General features: G+C 37.8%; 1 long non-coding RNA gene across 1 annotated transcript in view; it reads left to right on the forward strand.

Annotated features, from left to right (window-relative positions):
- Positions 1-3,362: 3,362 nt before the first annotated feature.
- The window catches only part of LOC124901047 (uncharacterized), a 192,316-nt gene continuing 172,028 nt past the window's right edge, over positions 3,363-23,650 (forward strand). Inside the window, exon 1 of the long non-coding RNA XR_007058906.1 lies at positions 3,363-5,447. This is a non-coding gene — a long non-coding RNA (uncharacterized LOC124901047). The remainder of the gene's footprint in view (positions 5,448-23,650) is intronic.

Below are 23,650 nucleotides of genomic sequence, written 5' to 3' on the forward strand. Positions count from 1 at the left end.
GACCCCCCCATCTCTAAAATAATGAATAAATAAATAAATAAATAATTTTGATTATTTCTAGTATTAAAAGGCTCTGCCTTACAGTATTAAAGTACTGTTTATAAAGAAGTTAAGGGAATGACTTATACTTTTTTTGAATACTTTCCCATATTGTGTATGCAGGAATTTTCGCATTTCACAACTAAAAGTATTTTACCTTCCTGTTTGCCTTTCTTAATGTTAGCTTTTAAAAATACTGTTTTATTGTTTGCTCTTAAGCCTTTGTTCTTAAAATTTTACTCTCAGACATTTATTTTAAGGGGAATTGCAAGGGATATAGTATAGTGCTAAAACTTGTTATTTTGGAGTTAGAAAGACAGAGTTGAAATTCTTACTTTACCATTTTCGAGCTGTGTAGTCTCAGACAAGTTACCTAATGTCTTTGTGCCTTAGCTTCCCTGGTGTACAGTAGAGAAAATGATGCCCAACTCATAAAGCTGGTGGATTTACTAAATGAGGCAAAATATCTAAAGTATTTAGTAAAGTGTGTAACATGGAAAGCTCAAATATGTGATGGCAGATATAGGTATTATCCTTTTTCTCACCCTTTTGAACCAAAATAGTCTGTAAGACAATAACATTATGAGTAGTTTTGAAGATCAATTATTTTTATTATTTTTAATAGATAAATAATAATTATATGTATATTTGTGGTATAAAATGGGATGTTTTGATACATGTATACAATGCAAAATGATTAAGTTAAGCTAATTAACATAGTCATCACCTCACTTATTTTTTATGGTAAGACATTTGAAATTTACTCTCTTAGCAATTTAAAAATACACAGTATGTTATTCATAGCTATAGTCACAATGCTGTGAAATGGATCTCAAAAACTTTTACCTCTTGGGAACACTTATTCTATTTGATGGAAGAAAGTACTGTTCATTAAAAAAAAATCAAACTTATTCCTCCTAATCGAAACTTTGTATCCTTTGAATACATCTTCCCATTCCCTTCTCTTCAAGCACCAGCCTCTGGTAACCACCCTTCTACTCTCTATGGCTATGAGTTTGACTTTTTCAGATTCTACATATAAATAAGATCATGTGGTATTTGAAGACAAACTCCTCTTGAAATATCAAGGAACAGCCTCATTGAACTTTCCTCTTACAGGAGATTGTCTCCTTGTATTTGCTGAAGAATCACTAGAGCTGGGATGAGAGAGTGAGGAATGACCTTGATATGGTTTGGCTGTGTGCCCACCCAAATCTCATCTTGAATTGTAGCTCCCAGAATTCCCATGTTGTGAGAGGGACCTGGTGTGAGATAATTGAATCATACAAATCATCATTGTAGATAATCCCATATTGTTCTTGTGGTAGTGAAAAAGTCTCACGAGATCTGGTTGTTTTAGAGGGGTTTCCCTTTTCACTTGACTCTCATATTCTCTCTTGTTTGCCACCATGTAAGATGTGCCTTTCACCTTCTGCCATGATTGTGAGGCCTCCCCAGCCAAGTGGAATTGTGAATCCATTAAACCTCTTTTCTTTATAAGTTGCCCAGTCTTGGGTATGTCTTTATCGGCAGCTTGAAAATGGATGAATATGACCTACACCCAAGCCTTCCCTTCTACTTTCCTTCTCCAGTGGCTGCTGTCTCCTCTCCCAGGATTAAGGAATGGAGTTGCCAGCTCATCCTAGGGGAAGCCCTGCTACTGCAGGATATCCAGTAGCCTGAGCTGACTCATCCATTTCTGAAGCTGCCCATGGTTCCTTTCCAGAGCCACCTGGTGTGCAAAATCCACCTATGCACCATGGCATCCAGGCTGAGAGAAGGGCACTTCTCTATCACCGCACATGTGAGTAGAATTTGGTAGCATTCGTACAGAGCCGGTGAAAAACTCAGGACTATTGCAAAAAATTTGAGGGTATTAAAATATGCATCTGACAGTCCCCCCTGACTTTTCACTCCATCTCCCCCTCATGTACCCTAATAATTGTGAGACAGAAAACAGTCTCTGAAGTCATGGAACTAGAAATCTGACTGGGGGTTAGGAGAGATAAGGCGTATACCCATGAAAAGGGAAATAGCTTAACAAGCATTAAATAACAGTACTCTCTTTATTTAACAAGAAGAGCTTATAGTCTAGAAGGGAAGACAGGAAGAAAACAGGAGTTAAAGTAGAAAGGTTAAGTCTTTGGTAACAATTATGTAGGTATTTAGGTGATGACAATATCAGGGAAGTGACGTGACAGTACAGAATATGAGCTCAATAGGAAAGAGATCTATCATTACCTGTACTTCAGGAGAGAGCGCGACTGCTGTGGCTGTACTAGGCAGGGAAGGCTTGAGATAGGCCTTGCAGGATAAACACAGCTTATGTAGACCAAGGGGAGGATATCCCTCTGCTCACTGCTGATTCTCCAGCCTGACGTGTGAGGCAGAGCAGGCGCCAGCAGATGGAGGTAAGATGGTTTTCAGAGGAAGCCTGGAATGGAACTGAGGGAGCTGTTGGTAGAGCTGCACGCTAGGTCAGGAGGCCTGGTTTCAGTCTTGGACCTGATATTAACTACTCTGATGGTTTGTGTTAAGTCTCCTCACTTCTTTGGGTCTCTCTTTCTCATTTTAAAAATGAGCAGGTTGGGCTAAGTGATCCACAAATCCCTTTTCCGGGTCATATCTATGATTTTATTATTTCCTCACCTGGAGCATACAGATAATTCAATGAAGATTTAAAAGGCTTGTCAAAATTTGGAAAATATTATTTCTTTTCACTTCAGAGCAAGCAATGTGGGAGAATATAAAATAGCCTCTGAATTTTATTGTATTAGGTATTTCTTTGCACTAGGAAATTTGTATTTTAATGAATTGGAAATGTTTCACTGGCATTTCTTCCTACTCATTATGTATTTCAGAAGGGACATTTCTCCCCGACATATCACTTGGTCTTTTGTGGTTGTTTTTGTGTTCTAAGGAGCCAGTCATTAATTATGCTTCTCCACAGACTTGGAGAAATACCTCCAAGGATCTGCCACTTGGGTGGAATTTTCTCAATCTGGTCTACACCATGACAGAAACACTGTTCTTTAGACTTCTCAACTCAAGGACTTTCTTTCAGTTTTGAAAAGGTTATGTGTCATATGCCAGAGACTACTAAGGGCTGGAGATTGTCTTGGCTACTCATATGAAAATATATTGTAGTTGCAGTGGTGGAACTGAAATTATAGTTTTTGAATAAGAATAAATGCAGGAAGGAATTCTATCCTTTTATCAGAGCATTTTCCTTCAGGAGTATAAAAGACTATATCTACACAGAATCAAATAAAGTGAAGATTTGTCCATTATACAACTATTCTGATCTTTGTAGATAACCAGAATGCTGGAAGCCAAAATGTTGAAAATCTTTCATATGGTTTTATTACTGGAATATCCAGATGGGTTGCTTGCATTGATTAGATTCCATAGGAAATGAATAAAACTCTACTTCCTGTTTTGTATGATAATTATAAAGTGAGTGACGTGACTTCCTTCTCCAGTTCAGATGAACGTAGGATAACATTTTCTTTAAGTGTTAGTAAAAAGGCCATTTTTCCTTCTACCCAGGCTGTCTTTCACTTTCTCTTTTCCTGCAGTTCTGCAGGCTTGAGAATGGTGGTGCTACTGTCCCATTCTTGTTTTCCTGTTGAAAAAAGATTTAGGGCTTTCACTTCTCTGGATCATTAATAGCATTTACAGCAAGGTAAAGGAAGAAGAAAGCACCATTCAATACCATGAATCACGGAACAAGCTGATGACTTACGAAGGTCAGGGAAGGACCTGCCAGCATCTTTTCAATTCATGTGTGCAGGCATTCCACAGATTACTAAGTGCACTGTCACTTTTACAGGGAAGTGTCAGATATTAGCCTCAGCTAAGGAGGCAGAAGCTCATTGTAGCAGATTGATCTTTGGAGACAAATCTGTGCTTATCTAATTCATTTCAGAAAGCTCTCCAATATTCCAAAAAGCACAAATCAGGTCAAGGAAAATGTGAATTGACTCTGAAGGAAAAGCACAAAGAGAGTAGAGCTTTACAAGTGAAAGGAGTGGTGAGGTTTCTGTATCCCCAAAACATAGGAGTAAAGGAGCTTATGGGTGTTTTGTAGGCATAAGTGTAGAAGCATTACAGAGAGAGACTAAGAGCCCGTACCTATGCCTGCACAGGCCAAATGTGCCTCGGGTGGCCCTAAGCAGAAAACAAAGTTACCATTTCTCCCTTTTAAGGGCTTGCCATTGCATCATCAGTTGGGCCTGGCTCTCTTTCCTCCTCCTTTCTGAGGCTTGAGGGAGAGGAAAGTCCTTCCTGCCTGGGGCGCCCAGAGCTGTCACTTTGGCTCTGGTTCAGTGAAACCTGGCCATTGACAGGACAGATGGCTATGGCAGCAGCCCATCCCATCAGCCCTAGAAGCCCTGTTTCTATTCAGATCATGTTCTCAAGTGATCTTTAGCGGATCCATGCTTAAGCATAGAAACAGAAAGCTTTGGCCAGCTTCTAGTTCCCATTAGCTTGTCTCTGAGACACCATGCTTAGTTGTGTGTGTATCTGAATTGAGGCAGTCAGTGATGTACTAGGGCTGAAATAGTAATAATAATAACAATTCTGACAGCTTTGAAGGTAGACCCTCCTGCTCATTTTAAATCACAGGCGCTGTTCTCTGCTTAGCTCTATGGAGCAATAAAAAGAAAAAAATACAAAAAGGCAGGCTGGGGAGAAGTGTGTTGCTCCTGTGTGGGGGCGGGATCATCTGAGGAGTGTTTCCAGGGAACTCTGGCAGGAGGGTTCTTGTTCATGAAGGATTTCCCCGGCACTGCGCTGTGGCAGGATAACAGATGGGCTTCTCTGTATTACAGAAGGGAAAATACCTTTTGTCTTCGCCAATGCCCTTCACTGCAGGCAAGCAAATAGGAGGGCCTTGTAAGCACCACTTCTGCTCCTCGATGCAGCCTCTGTCATGAGCCATCAGATTTTTCTCTGTAAGAATAGAAAGTCTTTTCACAGTATTCTCCTCCTGAAAGCTGTCAGCCATGAAGAGTGCCATGTCCTTGTTTAGAGACGCAGCTTCTGGAATGCTTGAGTGAAAAGCCAAAGGCATTTCATTTCTGAGGTTGTCAAAAATATTCACAGTCTTCCTGCTTGTGCCGAGGATGCTGACCTCATTCTCTCCAGATTTGTACCATATGTGGAGACTGGAGACTCCAGGACATAGGATTACAGTTTGGAAAGGTCTCCCTTGTTGGAATGGACTCAGCACACTTAGGATAAAGCTTAAGGAAAACTCAGCCACTCATGCAATTTTGTAAAGGAGTCTGTACCTTTGCTTGCAATTTTATAATTGTCTTGATTTCTTTTATTTGTAACCTTACACACCATTTGCCAGAAAAATTCAATAAAACGGAACAACGAGGAATTCTTACTATGACTTGGTGAGTTTAGTTTCCCAATTTTAGAGGGGAGAAACTGAGACGCAGAAAAGCTTAAGTTCTCTGAAGAGGCCAAACCAAGAGCAATTGATTAGTCTATTTCAGAAAATGCAGAAGCTGCTTTGTTTTCCAGCACATTATGAACTTATGGGGAGCATGGGCCTGCCTTTGCCTTCATTTCCAGTGTACCTCTAGCTTGGTGGCAGGGTGGTGCCTTTCTCCCCACTTGTTGATGGCTCTTGATCTGTTCTCCTGAGTAGACTAGGGAGGAATTCAAGCTGAACCTGGTTATTTATAGTGCAGAATTTAGGCTTAGAAGTGTATAATATATACACAACTTCTGTAGCTGCTCTCTTTCTCTATGAGTTGATTATCCTTTTATACCTACCAGCCTTTCCTCCTCTGGATCTTTCTCCCCTTCCTGTTCTTTTTCTTCCTCTCCCTCCTGCTCTTTCTTTTATTGTCTTATTGTGGGAACAGGGGACTATTTACAATTCACCTATGGGCTTATAAACCGACAAATGACCTACTGCTGTTGTTATTTCTGAGATAGATGTTTTGGGGAATCTGGCCAAAAGATGCTAGGCTGGATACTTAAACTACCTAATCATGAGTCTTCAAACGTATGTGGAAAGTATTTGGTCTTGAAACAGGTGATAAAACAGTTTCCCAGTGTAATCCTTTGTTACTCATGATTTTATGTGTTTGTGCTTTTGTCAACATTGGGCAAAACATCTAATTATCTGTACTCTCCTATCCTGAATGCCACTTGGTGGCAAGGGTGCTCTCATTTTTGAATCCTCTCTGGTGTCTGGTAGACATATTGGTATTTCAGCTAATTTAATTTAATTCTTATAAAACATGTGTATGTATCAGAGAGCTGAGGGAAATGACTCATGTACAATTGGGAAGGGCAAAACCTTTCATTTATGGATTTCTAGCTGCTAAACTGTTGATTTAATATATTAATCTTTCCAGATACTTATAAACCAGATATAGAACTGAATCCAGGGAATAATTCCAAGATTCTGTTATTTCCAAAAAGCTGCCAGGAATATTTGGAGAACTTTTAAAAACACTTGGAAATTCATTAGCTTATGAAAGAAAATGTCCAGAAAAAATGTTTTATAAGGTTTTCGTTTAAATTTTATTGATTTTCATAAAGCTTAGATAGAAAAATAAATGTGTTTACTGCACAGATTTTTGCTGGGGACTGTGATAACAAAAAAAATGTTAGTTTTTTAAGAGGAACAAAACTAAGAATTAGTTTTCGTGAAATGTTGTCATTTGTTTGGAGTCTTTTGATGAAGTGGTGGACTTCTTTCTTTTTCCTAACCTCTCTAGTAGTCAAGATATTGAAGACTTTGAAGAGAGGCACAAACAATGATTCATAGCTGTTGTGATTTTATTATTATAATTTTTGTTTACTTAGCAGGAGATTTCTTTCTAGGAAGAGTTGTGTTGGTTGAGTGAATATGCTGATAAACTACTCTGACAAGAGTGTAAGACATCAAAAGCATGCTGAAGGACTGGCAGCTTTTTGTCAAATTAATGTTGAGAAGACAGGAGGTTTGGGTAACTACAGGGATTTGCTTTTGCTGACTAAAATTTGCAGACTTGGTGCCAGAACTGAGTTGCTTATGACAAAAGAGAGAATTTCGGAATAAAGGAGGGAAGGGTGATGAAGTGTTGAGTAACTACAGCAGAACTGAAGGAGGAGGAAAGCATTGTCTCATGGGGAGCTATTTTAAATAAAACTTGCTGCATGTTGTAAATTCTCTTTTTCCACCCCTCGTCTTCCCCTTCACCTCCTCTGTCTTCAATACAGTTTATATTACTCATAAATAAAATCAGTTTGTTTGGTTAGGGATGTGACAAAAGGCTGTGTGGCCTCAAGATGGGCTCATGAGCCCAGACTGCTTATGGGAGATGCGATGTATCTGAATATTGAAGGACATGAGTCTCCTCAATCCTCTCCCATCTGTTGAAGATCAGGAGAAAACACAAGTTTGATCTATTTAACGGACACATTGTTAGCTTGGACTCTCCAGAATACTCTTAATTTACTTAAACTTCTGCAGAGAAGATGTGGTAGGCTGGATAATGTCCGGCAAAGATATCAGATTCTAGCCCTTGGAGCCTAGAACTGTGGCCTTACATGAAAAAAGTGTCTTTGCAGCTGTGATTAACTTAAGGATCTTGGGGTGGGGGATTATCTTGGATTAACCAGGTGGGTCCTAAATGCTGTTGAATGTGTCCTTATAAAACAGAGCCAGAGAGAGAGATTACAGAGCCATAGAGAGAGACACAGATGAGAAGGTGATGTGAAGACAAGGCAGGGAGAGAGGCGAAGATGCTAGCCTTGAAGACTGAGGTGATGTAGCCATAAACCAAGCCTGCCAGCAGCCACCATAAGCTGGGAGAGGCAAGGACTGGATTCTCCCCTAGCGCCTCCGGAAGGAGCACAGATTTGCTGTTATTTTAATTTTGGCCCAGTGGTATTGATTTTGGACTTCTGGTCTCCAGAGCTGTGAGAGAATAAATATCTGCTGCTTAAAGCCACTGCATTTGTGGTAATTTGTTACCACAGCCAGACTTTTGTATTTTGATGGTTGGCTGGAGATTAGTGATTTTTGCAATTTTTAAAATATCTAAATGTTACACAACTCAGAATGGTGTCAATAATATTAATTACAAAGATTCAAACCTATACTATCTCACCAATTTGGTCTCTAAATTGATTGCAGATGGCTCTGTTCAGTTCAAATTTTTAGAAGAATAGATGTTAGTTGGAAGTGGCCCCCTTAGGGAAATGAAATGTGTGAAGGAAGTGGCAGGAGAAAAAGAATAAAGATTAACTGAAGGAGAATTTGAACTATACTACCTAGCTGTTTGATACTGAAAAACGGTAGTGGAAACCTGTTAACTCCATTGAAAATTAATCAATACTTGTTTCACTTGGGGTAAAGGTTCTCAGAATTCTTGGTGGGAAGAGCCATAACTACCAACCAGAACCTGCACTAGAGTGAATGCGTAGGCTGTAGTTCTCTTCCGTTCAGCTCAATATCACACTCACTGATTAAATACCTATGACATACTAGACGTTCTTCCAGGCACAGAGGATAAAAGATGGGTAACACAAGGTTCTATTTTTCAGAAATTCAAAAAAGAGTCACGTATTATGTCAATGTTAAGTTCTAAGTTTAGTGATTAAGGTGAAATAATATGAGGTAAAAATTACTCTTGAGAATTCCTGAGAGAGGTCTTATATTCAAAGTCAATACATCTTTCAATCCAATAGCATACCTTTTTCTTCCAGCATTGAATCAGGCAACTATTTCATTAGTTAAGCACGTGAATAAGTATTTGGTTTACATTTAGGGACCATGTTATAAACTGATGCTTTTTAACATTAAGGTCATCCCTGCTGAGATTTGCAGAAATGGAGACAGACTGAAAAAATAGAACAACCATGTATCTCATGTTCTGTTCACTTCTAGGGATCTACTCTGTGTGAATGATGGGTGGGACCTCCCTGCCACGTCTCTTATGATCTGTCTCTCCACTTTTTGTCAAGTATGTTGGGTGAATTTGAGTTAAGTGCTTTGTGATGAGACTACATTTATTGCCATTTTATTTGTGTATTCACTCAACATCTATAGACAGTTAGTAAGGTAGAACAGTAGGTATTGTTGAGAAAGTGGAAATGGATAGGATGTGAGTTCTGCTTTTAAGGAGATTACTGTTTAGTGGGGAGATAAGACATGTATGTATTTTAGTATATGACACATTGGAAGTTAAACATTGTCAACAGAATTCAGAAAAGGGAGATTATTTCTGGTGGGGGATGCAGGAAAGACTTCATAGGGGAAGTGGTATTCTAGTTGGATTTTATATAAAGGGTAGGAGTTGAAGTTGTAAATAATGATAGGAAATAACTTTCTATACAGAGATGAAGAGTAAGTAAAGCACCAATCACAGGTAATCTTCAGGTTTGTTTGGGTAATAACAGTTTAGAAAGAGAATAAGAAATGTCCACTTGTAGTCAAGGTAGATATCTTGGTTTGTTTGGACTGCTATAACAAAATACCATAGACTGAGTGGTTTATAAACAACAGCAATTATTTTTCTCACAGTGCTGGAGGCTAGGAAGTTCAAGATCAAGGCACTAGCAGATCAAGGTGCTAGCAGATTCAGTGTCTGGTGAGGGCTCACTTCCTGGTTCCTAGATGGTGACTTCCTACTGTGTCCTGGAACAAATCCCATTGACCAGGGCTCCACTCTCCTGAACTAATCACCTCCCTGTGGCCCTACTTCCTAATACCATCACCTTGGGAGTTAATATTTCAACATATAAGTTTTAGGGGACACAAATATTCAGTCTGTAGCAGTAAAGGACAAGGTTCACATTTCTGCCTGAAACAACAAATAAACATGACAAAATATCTAAAACAGTGATTATCAAGACAATGAACATCAGGCAGTGATGGAGAGTGATCCTTGAAGGACGAGAAACAAATGAGATTGTCTTCACAATTGTCTCAGCTCACTGCCTAGGAGAGTTTCTAGGCTGTAGTACGAAGAAATATACCCATGCTGAGCCTCACAGTCTCCCTAAGTTTAGGAGACAGAGCTGTGAGTTCAGGGAGGTTAAGAGGGGTAGAGTTCCCAGGGAAGTGCACTGGAATAGAGAGAATTGCACAGAGAAAAAACTGGAGCTCTGTAGAAATTATCCTAGGGTATACAACATAGTGCTGATCAGCACATGGTTGTGAGGAAAGAACCATCCTAAAGGACCAAAGGGAACAATAGTAAGGGCTCATGCTAGGCAGGCAATAGTGCCTATTTCCAACTGCCATGCTGGAAAACCTCATAAATCATGGAGCTTTGGGTCATTTTGCCCATAATAGGGCAAAATGAACTTCAGATCACATGTTGCTCTGGTTTGCCAAACAAAGTTTAATTTAGGAAAAGAATAAAAATGCTATGAGGAAACTTAACTACATCCCAGAATAAAGCTCAATAATATTTACAGAAATCCAAAAATGTTCAGCATCCAACAAAGTGAAGTTGACTCCTTGTCCTTTGTATTATCAGATGTGTCTCCTTCTTTCCTCTCCTCTGTCCAACTCAGAAAGGTTCTAGCTTAAAGGATCTGTGGGCACCTGCTCCAAGGAAGCCCCAGACTGATGTAAATAGCTTACTTTTAGAAATGGTGACATAGATGATTTCTGTTGTAGACACATTTCCTAGTTCATAAAACGGATTAACAGTCTCTTTATTTGTTCTTGGCTTCTACCACCATGCAGAATTTTATAAGAACTTGGCTCATGGAGGTGGTGTACTCTGATAATGATCCAGAAAGGAACATTTAATTTAGTAATTTATTGGTACTGGGGAAGAAAGATGCTCTGGTATAGCATTCTCATTTCCTTTTATTATTCCAATTTTACAAGCATGCAGACCATCTGTCTTCACAAGAAAAACTTAATGTAGAAGGCTGAACAATTATGAAGTAATGAAGATCTTGTAAAACAGCTATCAGTAAAGCACAAGAGAGGCAGCACTTGTAAAACTGGAATGAATATGAATCAGCAAAGCCTGCAGATGTGTGCTCTTCAATCCTAAGAATGCTGCTTAGCTAATTTATAGACTTCTTGGCAAAGTATTTTGAAAATATTATGGAAGAGAGAGCAGTTTGAGATATTTTTATATAGAATAGTTCTTGGCAGGTAGGCTCTGGTAAATCCAATTCCATTGATTGCGAAGACACTGGCAATTGACTATGAAGATGTTGAGATTAAAAAAAAGAGATAAGGAAGTATAGAACAGTGGTTAGAGCACAGATAACAAATAAATCCAAGCTGGTTTGAGTACTTGTACTGTTATTTGCTGTGTGATCTAGGCCAATTTATTTAATTTTGCTGAGCCTCAGTCTTCTCATCTGAAAAATGGAGACAATAGTCAGAATATTGTTGTTGTGAAGATTCAATGAGATATACTACACATAAAGCACTTATCCTGAGCCCTTTAATAAATGTTATCTAAGAATAATTATGAAAGGAAAAATCTTCAAGTCCACATTAATTGGTATTTTTGGATGGAATTAAAATAATAAAACATAAAGGGCTTCAATAGTGTCTCATGTAATTTCACTGACACTGCACAATCCAAATTTTCTTGGAACCTGTTACATGCACCATCATAAACAAACCAGAAGGGGTACGCTTGGAGAAAATGCTTTTCTTAAATCTTTTTTGCTTTGCTTTAAAATTTTTTCTTAAATTACATCCTAATGCTGGGTAGAGCAGGTGTATGGCCCATGCTGATAGCCTACTAGAGGTTTAGAAACTCTCAATGTTTCTTAGGGCTTTTCATCTAAGAGAAACATTTGGTTAAGACAGTGGTTCATCATGGGTGATGGACTGATTTTACAATTGTGATTCTAAGTCGGATCAAAACGATGAAAAAGTGATAACATGAAATTTAAACTGGACAAACAAACCTGGACTACTGCCACTACAAAGATTCATAATCTATGCTTTCATCAGAGATTACCGAAAAAAACAAATGGATTCAAGACTGGACATAAGGAGTAGCAGCCAGAGTATCAGATTTAAATGCCATGTGGCATGGAGGCATGTATGTTTTGCTTGGTTGGATCTCAATATGATTTTTGGAAGCTAGTGTAAAAACCCCTAAAAATAAGGCCAATTAAGTAATTGATGTGCCTGGTCATACTTTCTTTCCTGTGTAATATGAAATGACATAGGTGGAAGTTGAAGGAAGAAGATCCTTCCACATTTCCATATTTGTGATTTAAAAAAAAGTTCCAATGTGCTCACCTTAGAATGGAACTAAAAGTGACTACTTGGCACTTTGCTTCCAAAACTTTGCCTTGGCTGCAAAATGCTTCTGAGAAAAGCAATGAGACTATCTGGGGAATTAGAAAGGTTGCTTGAGAGAACCAATGAAAAGGATGATATATTTATAAGTTGCTAACAAAAGATTTATAACTTCTCAAAGTGAGGGGAAGACACAATTTATCACGCCAAGAACCAGAATGTAAGTATAGCATCCAAGAAGGAGTGTGGCTGAGGACAAGAGCCCTGGGAATGTATGAATTAGAGTAAGATGTGAACTTTTAGGTAACAGGACAGGTTTGGCCAGATGGGGTTTGTCAGCTATTTAGTGATCCAGAGATATTAGTTTTGTCAGAGAGAAGCAGGCAAAAGAGGAAGCTTGAGTTAACGTTCAGAGGCTGGGGTCAGAGAGATTTCAGGAGGGGAGGGCTGGGCGGTAGGTGATGCTGAGATAAAGAGCTACTCTGAAAGCAGAGGCGATTCATTCTCTGGGCCTGTTTATTACTTCCATCGATTGTGGAGGCTCTGAGCCCACTGATGTTAACTGGCTTATTTTTCTCTGCACCTAATAAGCCATCTGTGGTGAGATACTTTTAAGATCATGCAAATATTCTGCTCTTCATCAAAGTTTACTCCCCAAATGCAAATTAAGACTACCGTGAAATGTACTACTATGCACCCGTTAGAATGGCTAAAATTAAAAATACTAACAGTACCAAGAATGTAGAGCAACTAGAATTTCCATACATTACTGGGGAAATGTAAAATGGCATAGCCTCTTTGGAAAATATCTGGTGGTTTCTTATAAAGTTAAATATGCACTTCCCATATGACCTAGGAATTTACTCTTAGTTATTTACCCAAGATAAATGAGAGCGGACGACTTTCATTTCTGATACGAAGACTTGTGCACAAATGTACCTGGCAGCTTTAGTCATAATAGATTCAGACTGGAAACAACCCAAATGTCCATCAACAGGTGAGGATTTATGGTATACCCACGTCATGGAATATGACTCAGTAATAAAAAGGAACAATGTTCTGATACAACAGAATGGATGAGTATCAAATATGTTCTGCTCTGTTAGAGAAGCCAGACACAAAAGAATATATACTGTATGATTCCACTGATGTGAAATTCTAGAAAAAATAAAGCTAATATCTGGAGACAGAAAGCAGATCAGTGGCTGCCTGAGACTCAAGGTGGGGCTGGGGATTGGGGGAGTTGTTGACTGCAAAGCGGCAGGTGGGAATTTTTAGAGTAATGGAAATGTTTTAGGCCTTGATTTTAGTGATGGCTGCACAGGTGTATAAATTTGTCAAAACTCATCAAACTGTACACATTATGGTTCCATTTTATCATTTTTTGCCTCTATAAAGTTGGTAATTTCCTCCCTTTAGTTAGCATCCATTTATGATTCTTCCCTGAATGGCTATTTATAATTCCACAAGCTTCTACATAGGATTAGCAAGGCAGTTTGGCCAAGGGTATTTGAATACTACAATGTGTTTCTCAGAGATTTTCTTTTTGTTATTAAAAACAAACATCAGAGCTGGATGGGGGGGCTCATGCCTGTAATTGCAGCACTTTGGGAGGCTAAGGCAGTAGGATTGCTTGAGTCCAGGAGTTTGAGGTTACAGTTAGCTATGATTGCACCATTGCACTCCAGCCTGGGCAACAGATTTAGACCCTTTCTCAAAAGGAAAGGAAAGGGAAGTGAAGGGGAGGAGAGGGGAGGGGAGGGGAGGAGAGGGGAGGGGAGGGGAGGGGAGGTAAGGAACAAACATCAATGAGTTAAATTTATGGTATTACAGATGTTTAATCAGAATCCAGTGAATTGTGGCTTGGCTGGAAGATCTTCAGGCAAGACCCTATCAGAACTCAATAATGAGACAAAGATGAATTTTCCTAACATTTTAGTGCATTTATTACCCTATAGAGGCAAGAGGATGGCTGGTTTCTACAACAGAAAATAGATGAACCCCAACACATGGGGAGTCATTTAATACTAAACTAAAAGAATCCTGCAGAATATACTACAGGAAACATTGCTGGGAGATGAGGAGGGCTTCTCCAGCTCTACTTTTTATTATTGAATAAGAGGAAGACAGGGATGCCCATTAAATAATTGGAATGGCTGTCTCAGCTTGCATTTCCATTGTGAAATCAAATTTACAGAATGGAAACTTCATATAGTATTTTCTATGACTCATGCAACAACCACACTGAACACATTTTAATAGAAACTCATCATGATAATACTATTTTTTCTCTTTTTCTTTGCATTTCCCCAATTCTTATTTTTAATTTTGCAAGACAATGGATTTTACTGGTTTTGTAAAAAGGATATAAACTTTATAAGAAGTTTAAATAGTAAAGAAAAGGAAAGGAAATGGAATCACTCAAAGACTGTTCAGTTGCAAATAATGTTCTTAATATTTGGTGAACTTTATTCTAGAAGTATTTTAACAGGTATATTTAGAAAGGATAGATATACATTATTTATTTATTTATTATTTTTCTTTTTGAGACAAGATCTCACTCTGTCACCCAGGCTGGTGCAGTGGCGTGATCACGGCTCACTGCAGCCTCAACTTCCTGGGCTCAAGCAATCCTCCCACCTTAGCCTTCTGAGTAGCTGGGACTACAGGTGTGCACCACCATGCCTGGCTGATTTTTGTAATTTTTCTAGAGATAGGGTTTTACCATGTTGCCCAGACTGGTCTTGAACTCCTGACCTCAAGCAATCTGCCCATCTCGGCCTCCCAAAGTGCTGGGATTACAGGTATGAGCCACTGCGCCCTGCAGTTAGATAGAAATAATTTAGAAAATTGAGATCACGTGATACATGCTAGTTTATTTTTTATTTTTTTGCATGAAATCTAAATACTGTACAAGATACATGTCAGTTTAGGTCAAATATACCAAATAAAAGTTTTCTTGAGTTCACTTGACTTTACAAAAGAGATACTAAATTTAAACTGAAGGAATTGCAGAAATCCAGTAAATATTTTTTATACTGTAAGAGATCTTTTTTCCTGAGAGATCAGCTACAGTTAAGAAAAAAGATATAGAAAAATTACGATGTGAATGCGTGTGCCTGCCTATGTGTGTGTGTACATGCCTGTGGTGTGTATGACGTTGTTTGCATGTGTGTCCATTTTGCATGTGTGTTTATGTGCCAGTGCACATCTGTTTTCCTTTGTGTGCATGTGCATGTGTGTATGCAGGCGTGTGTGCAGGTGTGATTATTTGTAAAAATGACTCTTTGGAGCTGGAATTTTAAAAAATTTACATAAATTGCCAATGTCTATCTTGCTAGAGGAAGTCTTGAGTCAAAGTTTATTTCCCTTGGAAATCTGTAGACATCATTAGAATTTCTTTCTGATGATTGCTTTGAAGAAATCTGGGAGTAATCTGATTTTTTTCACTTTATATGACTTTATTGATGTAAATGTCTGTATGGTTTTGAAGTATATTTTGTGCTTAGTAACTTCATCGATATATATTTCAATGTTGATCATTTAGTCTTTTCTACAGCATATGACATAAACTTTTGAGTTGCAGATTCTAATCTTTTTTGATTTTAGGAAAAATACTAACATATATTTGATGTGTCAGTATTGACTTTGGTAGATAGTCTTGGTTATATTACAGGAGTTTTCTCCTATACTGTTTTACATGAAATTTTTATTTAAAATGACTATAGGGTTTAATAAATTTTTTTCTTTAATTTCATAGTGTCTTATATTGATAAATTTCCTAAAGAAACTGTCTTTGCATTCCTCTAAGAAAATACTAGTTGGTCATACTGTATTATTATTTCTATATACTGGTGGATTTAATTTGTTAATACCTTGTTTTAAGTTTTTGTAACTATATTAATAAGTGAAATTTGCATATGTTAATCAATACTGGTAGTGACATTGTAATAACTTTAAAAATAACTGTCCCTTCTTGAAATAGAGACACAAAAAACCCCTCAAAAAATCAATGAATCCGGGAGCTGGTTTTATGAAACGATCAACAAAATTGATAGACCGCTAGCAAGACTAATAAAGAAGAAAAGAGAGAAGAATCAAATAGATGCAATAAAAAAATGACAAAGGGGATGTCACCACCGATCCCACAGAAATACAAACTACCATCAGAGAATACTATAAACACCTCTACGCAAATAAAGTAGAAAATCTAGAAAAAATGGATAAATTCCTTGACACATACACCCTCCCAAGACTGAACCAGGAAGAAGTTGAATCTCTGAATAGACCAATAACAGGCTCTGAAATTAAGGCAATAATTAAAAGCTTACCAACCAAAAAAAGTCCAGGACCAGATGGATTCACAGCCGAATTCTACCAGAGGTACAAGGAGGAACTGGTACCATTACTTCAGAAACTATCCCAATCAATAGAAAAAGAGGGAATCCTTCCTAACTCATTTTATGAGGCCAGCATCATCCTGATACCAAAGCCTGGCACAGACACAACAAAAAAGGAGAATTTTAAAGCAATATCCTTGATGAACATTGACGCAAAAATCCTCAATAAAATACTGGCAAACCGATTCTAGCAGCACATCAAAAGGCGTATCCACCATGACCAAGTGGACTTCATCCCTGGGATGCAAGTCTGGTTCAATATATGCAAATCAATAAATGTAATCCAACATATAAACAGAACCAAAGACAAAAACCACATGATTATCTCAATAGATGTAGAAAAAGCCTTTGACAAAATTCAACAACCCTTCATGCTAAAAACTCTCAATAAATTAGGCATTGATGAGATGTATCTCAAAATAATAAGAGCTATCTATGACAAACCCACAGCCAATATCATACTGAATGGGCAAAAACTGGAAGCATTCCCTTAGAAAACGGGCACAAGACAGGGATGCCCTCTCTCACCACTCCTATTCAACATAGTGTTGGAAGTTCTGGCCAGGGCAATCAGGCAGGAGAAGGAAATAAAGGGTATTCAATTAGGAAAAGAGGAAGTCAAATTGTCCCTATTTGCAGATGACATGATTGTATACCTAGAAAACCCCATCGTCTCAGCCCAAAATTTTCTCAAGCTGATAAGCAACTTCAGCAAAGTCTCAGGATACAAAATCAATGTGCAAAAATCACAAGCGTTCTTATACACCAATAACAGACAAACAGAGAGCCAAATCATGAGTGAAATCCCATTCACAATTGCTTCAAAGAGAATAAAATACCTAGGAATCCAACTTACAAGGGATGTGAAGGACCTCTTCAAGGAGAAATACAAACCACTGCTCAATGAATTAAAAGAGGATACAAACAAATGGAAGAACATTCCATGCTCATGGGTAGGAAGAATCAATATCGTGAAAATGGCCATACTGCCCAAAGTAATTTATAGATTCAATGCCATCCCCATCAAGCTACCAATGACTTTCTTCACAGAATTGGAAAGAACTACTTTAAAGTTCATATGGAACCAAAAAAGAGCCCACATCACCAACTCAATCCTAAGCCAAAAGAACAAAGCTGGAGGCATCACGCTACCTGACTTCAAACTATACTACAAGGCTACAGTAACCAAAACAGCATGGTACTGGTACCAACACAGAGATATAGACCAATGGAACAGAACAGAATCCTCAGAAATAATGCCGCATATCTACAACTATCTGATCTTTGACAAACCTGACAAAAATAAGCAATGGGGAAAAGATTCCCTATTTAATAAATGGTGCTGGGAAAACTGGCTAGCCATATGTAGAAAGCTGAAACTTGATCCCTTCCTTACATGTTATACAAAAATTAATTCACGATGGATTAAAGACTTAAATATTAGACCTAAAACCATAAAAACCCTAGAAGAAAACCTAGGCAATACCATTCAGGGCATAGGCATGGGCAAGGACTTCATGTCTAAAACACCAAAAGCAATGGCAACAAAAGCCAAAATTGACAAATGGGATCTCATTAAACTAAAGAGCTTCTGCACAGCAAAAGAAACTACCATCAGAGTGAACAGGCAACCTACAGAATGGGAGAAAATTTTTGCAACCTACTCATCTGACAAAGGGTTAATATCCAGAATCCACAATGAACTCAAACAAATTTACAAGAAAAAAACAAACAACCCCATCAAAAAGTGGGCAAAGGATATGAACAGACACTTCTTAAAAGAAGACATTTATGCAGCCAAAAAACACATGAAAAAATGCTCATCTTCACTGGCCATCAGACAAATGCAAATCAAAACCACAATGAGATACCATCTCACACCAGTTAGAATGGCAATCATTAAAAAGTCAGGAAACAATAGGTGCTGGAGAGGATGTGGAGAAATAGGAACACTTTTACACTGTTGGTGGGACTGTAAACTAGTTCAACCATTGTGGAAGTTGGTGTGGCGATTCCTCAGGGATCTAGAACTAGAAATACCATTTGACCCAGCCATCCCATTACTGGGTATATACCCAAAGGATTATAAATCATGCTGCTATAAAGACACATACACACGTATGTTTATTGTGGCACTATTCACAATAGCAAAGACTTGGAACCAACCTAAATGTCTAACAACGATAGACTGGATTAAGAAAATGTGGCACATATACACCATGGAATACTATGCAGCCATAAAAAATGATGAGTTCATGTCCTTTGTAGGGACATGGATGAAACTGGAAACCATCATTCTCAGCAAACTATCGCAAGGACAAAAAACCAAACACCATGTGTTCTCACTCATAGGTGGGAGTTGAACAATGAGAACACATGGACATAGGAAGGGGAACATCACACACCGGGGACTGTTGTGGGGTGGGGGGAGGGGGAAAGGATAGCATTAGGAGATATACCTAATGCTAAATGATGAGTTAATGGGTGCAGCACACCAACATGGCACATGTATACATATGTAACAAACCTGCACATTGTGCACATGTACCCTAAAACTTAAAGTATAATAATAATAAAATTTAAAAAAAAGAAACTATAAATACATGAAAAAAAATAACTGTCCCTTCTTTACTGTGGTCTGAAATTATTATACTAAAAGCTTAATTATTATAGAAATGATCTGTTTTGTAAAGTTTTAACATACCTACAAAGCCCATCCAGAAACCTATGTAGGACAAGTGTCTTTTTAATATTGTAGATTTTAAAAATTGCTTTTAAAATACCTAGTATGTTTATTGGTCCTTTCAGATTTTCCACCTTTTCTTGAACCAATATTGGCCCCTTATATTGTGCTAGAAATTCATCTATTTCTTCCAGCTTTCCAAAAAATATTGATATAGAATTGCAGATGATATTCTCTTAGAAGTCTTTTAATCTCTTCTATACTTTATGTCACCCTTTTCATACCTAATATTGCTACCTTTTGTTTTTCCCTTTTTGTTAATCAGGATTCCCAGGGTTGATCTATTTTACCTTCCTTTTTAGGAGCATGTTTTATTTATTTATCATTTCTATTTGTATTTTCTCTTTCATTAAGTTTAGATTTTGGCTTAATTTCCTCCTACTTCTTTGCTTTCTTTTTGCTTATGTTATTTCTCTAACTTCAATGTATTATTTTACATATTAAAATTATACCTATTTTTAATACATTTTTTCTTATCTATTCTAGTCTCTCACTTGAATAATAAACAGAAGTTATGATTATGTTAGATATGGTTTATGTGTAGCTTTTCTTTGTAATATTTTTACTTTTGTCTTTTTTTTTCAAATTCTACAGGCTAAATTTTCATCCACTCATCATAACTCATAATTTCTCATTTGAACACCTGAATAATCTCTTTTGTGAGCTTTTAAAAAAGAATTAGTAAGCTTTCTGTATTTTTTAAGGCTATACATAACTATTTGGATTCTTTTAGCATTTCTTTTTCCTCTTTCAGTACCCCTTCCCCTATTTCCCTTTTTCTATGGTGTTGAAATGGGTCTCTATAGGAACATTCTTCATTTCTCCAGGATGTTGTTCATATCCTTAGATCTCAGCAATTAATGACACATTCAGTAGCAGGGTGCTTGATGGCTGTAAACTTATCTTTGAGGAAATCTGTATCCCATTCTAGGGATGGATGGGAGAGGGGTTTGCCCACTCCCTTGTCTCACTCAAGACTGCATAGGATTTTGCTGGTAAATGTTGGAGTTTTTAGTGAGTGAGTCTGTGGTCTTTCCCACTGAACCTCTAGAGAGCAATGGAAAAAGCAATTGAATGAGCTTTCACTGTTTCCTTTCTAGTGGAAATGCTGAAAAGAAAGTATTTGTGGGGAGAAGGGAGAGAAGCTTGAGATCTGCCAACCAGTTCATCAGTCCTTGAATTACTGAGAAATCTGGATTCACTGCAGAATAAAAAGACAGACCATTTATACTGGAAGAAAATAACTTATTGGGATAGATTTTGTTATACTTTGAAGTCTCTGAAAGCTATGGCCCAATTTATATTTATATTTTTGTCAGTTAAATATTTCTTCATATGATCAAGGTTGTGTTTATTCATCTTTGGCATCTGGCTCATTGCTTCTGCTAGTGGAGATTTAGTGGGTGACTTGCGTGATCTGTTTCAACATAAATAACTAAAAGTCCATATTTGTTTCCAGAGGTAAACAAGTTGAATTCTTCAACTGAGTAGCCTTGAGTAGCCACCGAGCTGCAGCAAAGTGAACACATAGCTGATCCCTGAGACCAAGTGGGAGGGGGGTGGGTGTGCTATTGTCACTCGGCTCCAAATCCACTTGTCTATACTCTGCTTCCTAATGCTGGGGCTGTGATTCTGCAAAAACATGTTTCTCTTTTGCCTGCTAGTTTTCTGTTAGGTCTGCTGATAGGAGGTGCTAGAGAAAAGACTAGAAGGCTGGAGGAGGGCTGTTCAGTTTGTTTCCTGTTGCTAACAGCATGGTCCTAGCAATGCCCCTTCATCTTAGCAGTGCGGTTGGTTCAAGTCTCCAGCTTTTATTTTCACATTCTCAGAACCAGCCTCATTGCATCCCCTCAGATGTAGCAGCACCAGCCAGGGAGCACTGAGGTCTGAGTTGTAAGAAGTAAACTTGGCGTTATTCATACACACATGACATGTATTTTAAGTAAAGTTTATCACAGTTTGAGTTCAATAATTTATCTTACATGGAAGTAAGTAGAAAACTCTAAAACAAGAATTACTTTAGTAAATATTAACGGAAAAGGGGGAAAGAGGGTTGTGGGTTTCTGATATTAACATTCCTCTCTTTGGAAGTTGTTCAGCTGGTTGTGGAACACACACAATCAACCCAAGCTTTTAATACATTTGTTTGCTGATAGCTGCTAACAACTGTACTGTTAGATTTCTTGGGTGATATTTTATTATACTATGAAACAAATGCAACATTATAGCTGAAAATGAGTACAACATACAGAGTGAGAGGAAGAGGTGGATCTAGATTCAGAAACAAAATGCTCATACAGCTAAAAAAATGAACAGCATCAGTAATTCCACAGGCCAACCTCTAGGTGGGAAATACCTGAATGAGGCACTAAGGTCCTTTAGGACCGCAAATCCTTCCCAGGAAGCATCTGGATAGCAGGGCCTTGCCTTTGAAGATAAAGCACTGGCCATCCTGTAACCCACATCCACGATGCCAGTGAGAGATCAGCAGAGGCACATAAACCTCAGTCCCTCATGTGCTTGGGAATTTACATTATTACTGTTATTTAAAAAATAGTTTAAGCATTATTCTTTACAAATCAATTCTTTTTTACATCTTTCTTTATGTGTGAATACGGCAAGTCCACAAACTTGGACTTTGCCTAGTGCTTTTCCCTAATGACTGGGTACAGCTTATAATCACAGTGACGTTTGTCAGATGACAGCTTAAGGTTTTTATGTAACTGGTGCATCTTGTTCTTCAGTATCTAGACTACTGTTGTGTTGAAGTGTTGCAACTTCAAAATTCTTCAGTTTTGTACATCAACAAACATAAGTATACATATATGTTTATTTAATAACCATTTGATGACTTTTCCAATTACCTTCCTTTCTTAATACATTACTATAATCTCACTTTCCCATAGGACATGGTATTTGCAGGATTCTTTAGAATAATTTCAATTTTATTTCTTTGTAAATTAAACGTGGTGAAATTGACTATAAAATGTTCACTTTAACAAAAAACATCCAAATTCAATCTATGCCATCATAGAAAGGACCATTCTGTGTTAGTTTCTTGGATCAACTTGAAGAGTACAAACTGACTGCCATCATTTGGCTAACTGGGTTATTTGTGTGGCTTATTCAGTGGTGTCAGTATATCAGCTTATCTCTAGGTCTTGCTCCATTTCAGAGCCTGGGGAGTGATACCTCTGTTTCTGCATACTGACTCATCTAAGTAGCTCAGGCCATGTGATTACACTTGACATTTTTGGAAGATATATTTTGACTAATCCCTGCTTGTGGAGAATGTCTTGCTTATATGGATTTATTTGTCAACTAATGCAACAAATATGGTCAATTACTGCCATGTGCCAGGCACTAGGTGTGGTTCTGAACAGCAGTCAACACTATAGATAGAACTCCTGTGCCCATGGAGCTAATATTCTAGTGGAGAGGGATAAACGAGAAAGTAGTAAAAAGCATACTAAAAAGATGAATGATAATTGTAATACGTGCTTGGAAGGAAAATAGGGTCATGTGATAAAAACTGTGTGAGGGCAAGAAGTGGTCTGGGACATCTCTTTGAAGAGGTGTCATTTGAGCTGATGCCTGAAAATAAGGAATCAGTCATGCTGAAAACCCTGAAGGAAGAATGCTCTCATGTAGGCTGAAGAAAGAGCAAGCACTAAGGCACGGAGGCAGGATAGGAGCTTGGGATGCTCTGACAACAGGAAGTAGGATAGGAAGGTGGAGTAGAGGGAGAACAGTAAATCACAGTAAATAATAAATGTGAAGATTGTTTAGAAAGATATTGAATGTTATCTGTGGTAACCGTGAGGTGAGAGCAAAGATACCGTCGAGCGAATGAGGCAGGGAACAATCCTTTTCATCTTATGATATAGAGCTAATATTTCGTTATATAATTCCTTATGTAATTTCTCAGGGTGAATAGGATCAAAATTTTATTTTCTTAGACTTCAGTTCTATCAAATGAGAGAAGGTGAGAATAACTTGAAATGTGGTAATTTAATGTTCCAAAATAATGTTGGTAAAACTGACTTTATCTTCTTAATTTCAAAACAACAAAAATTGTTCTATGAATACATTGAGAAATAAATGCCATTGAATTGATGATATTAAATGATATTTGGGGATATTCTGGAATGGTGAAATGGTGAAAACTTGACGTGGCACTTACTTAGTAGCTGGGTGACCTTGGACTTTAATTCTTCA

Source organism: Homo sapiens, chromosome 5 (genome assembly GCF_000001405.40).
Source record: "Homo sapiens chromosome 5, GRCh38.p14 Primary Assembly".
Lineage (NCBI taxonomy): Eukaryota > Metazoa > Chordata > Mammalia > Primates > Hominidae > Homo > Homo sapiens.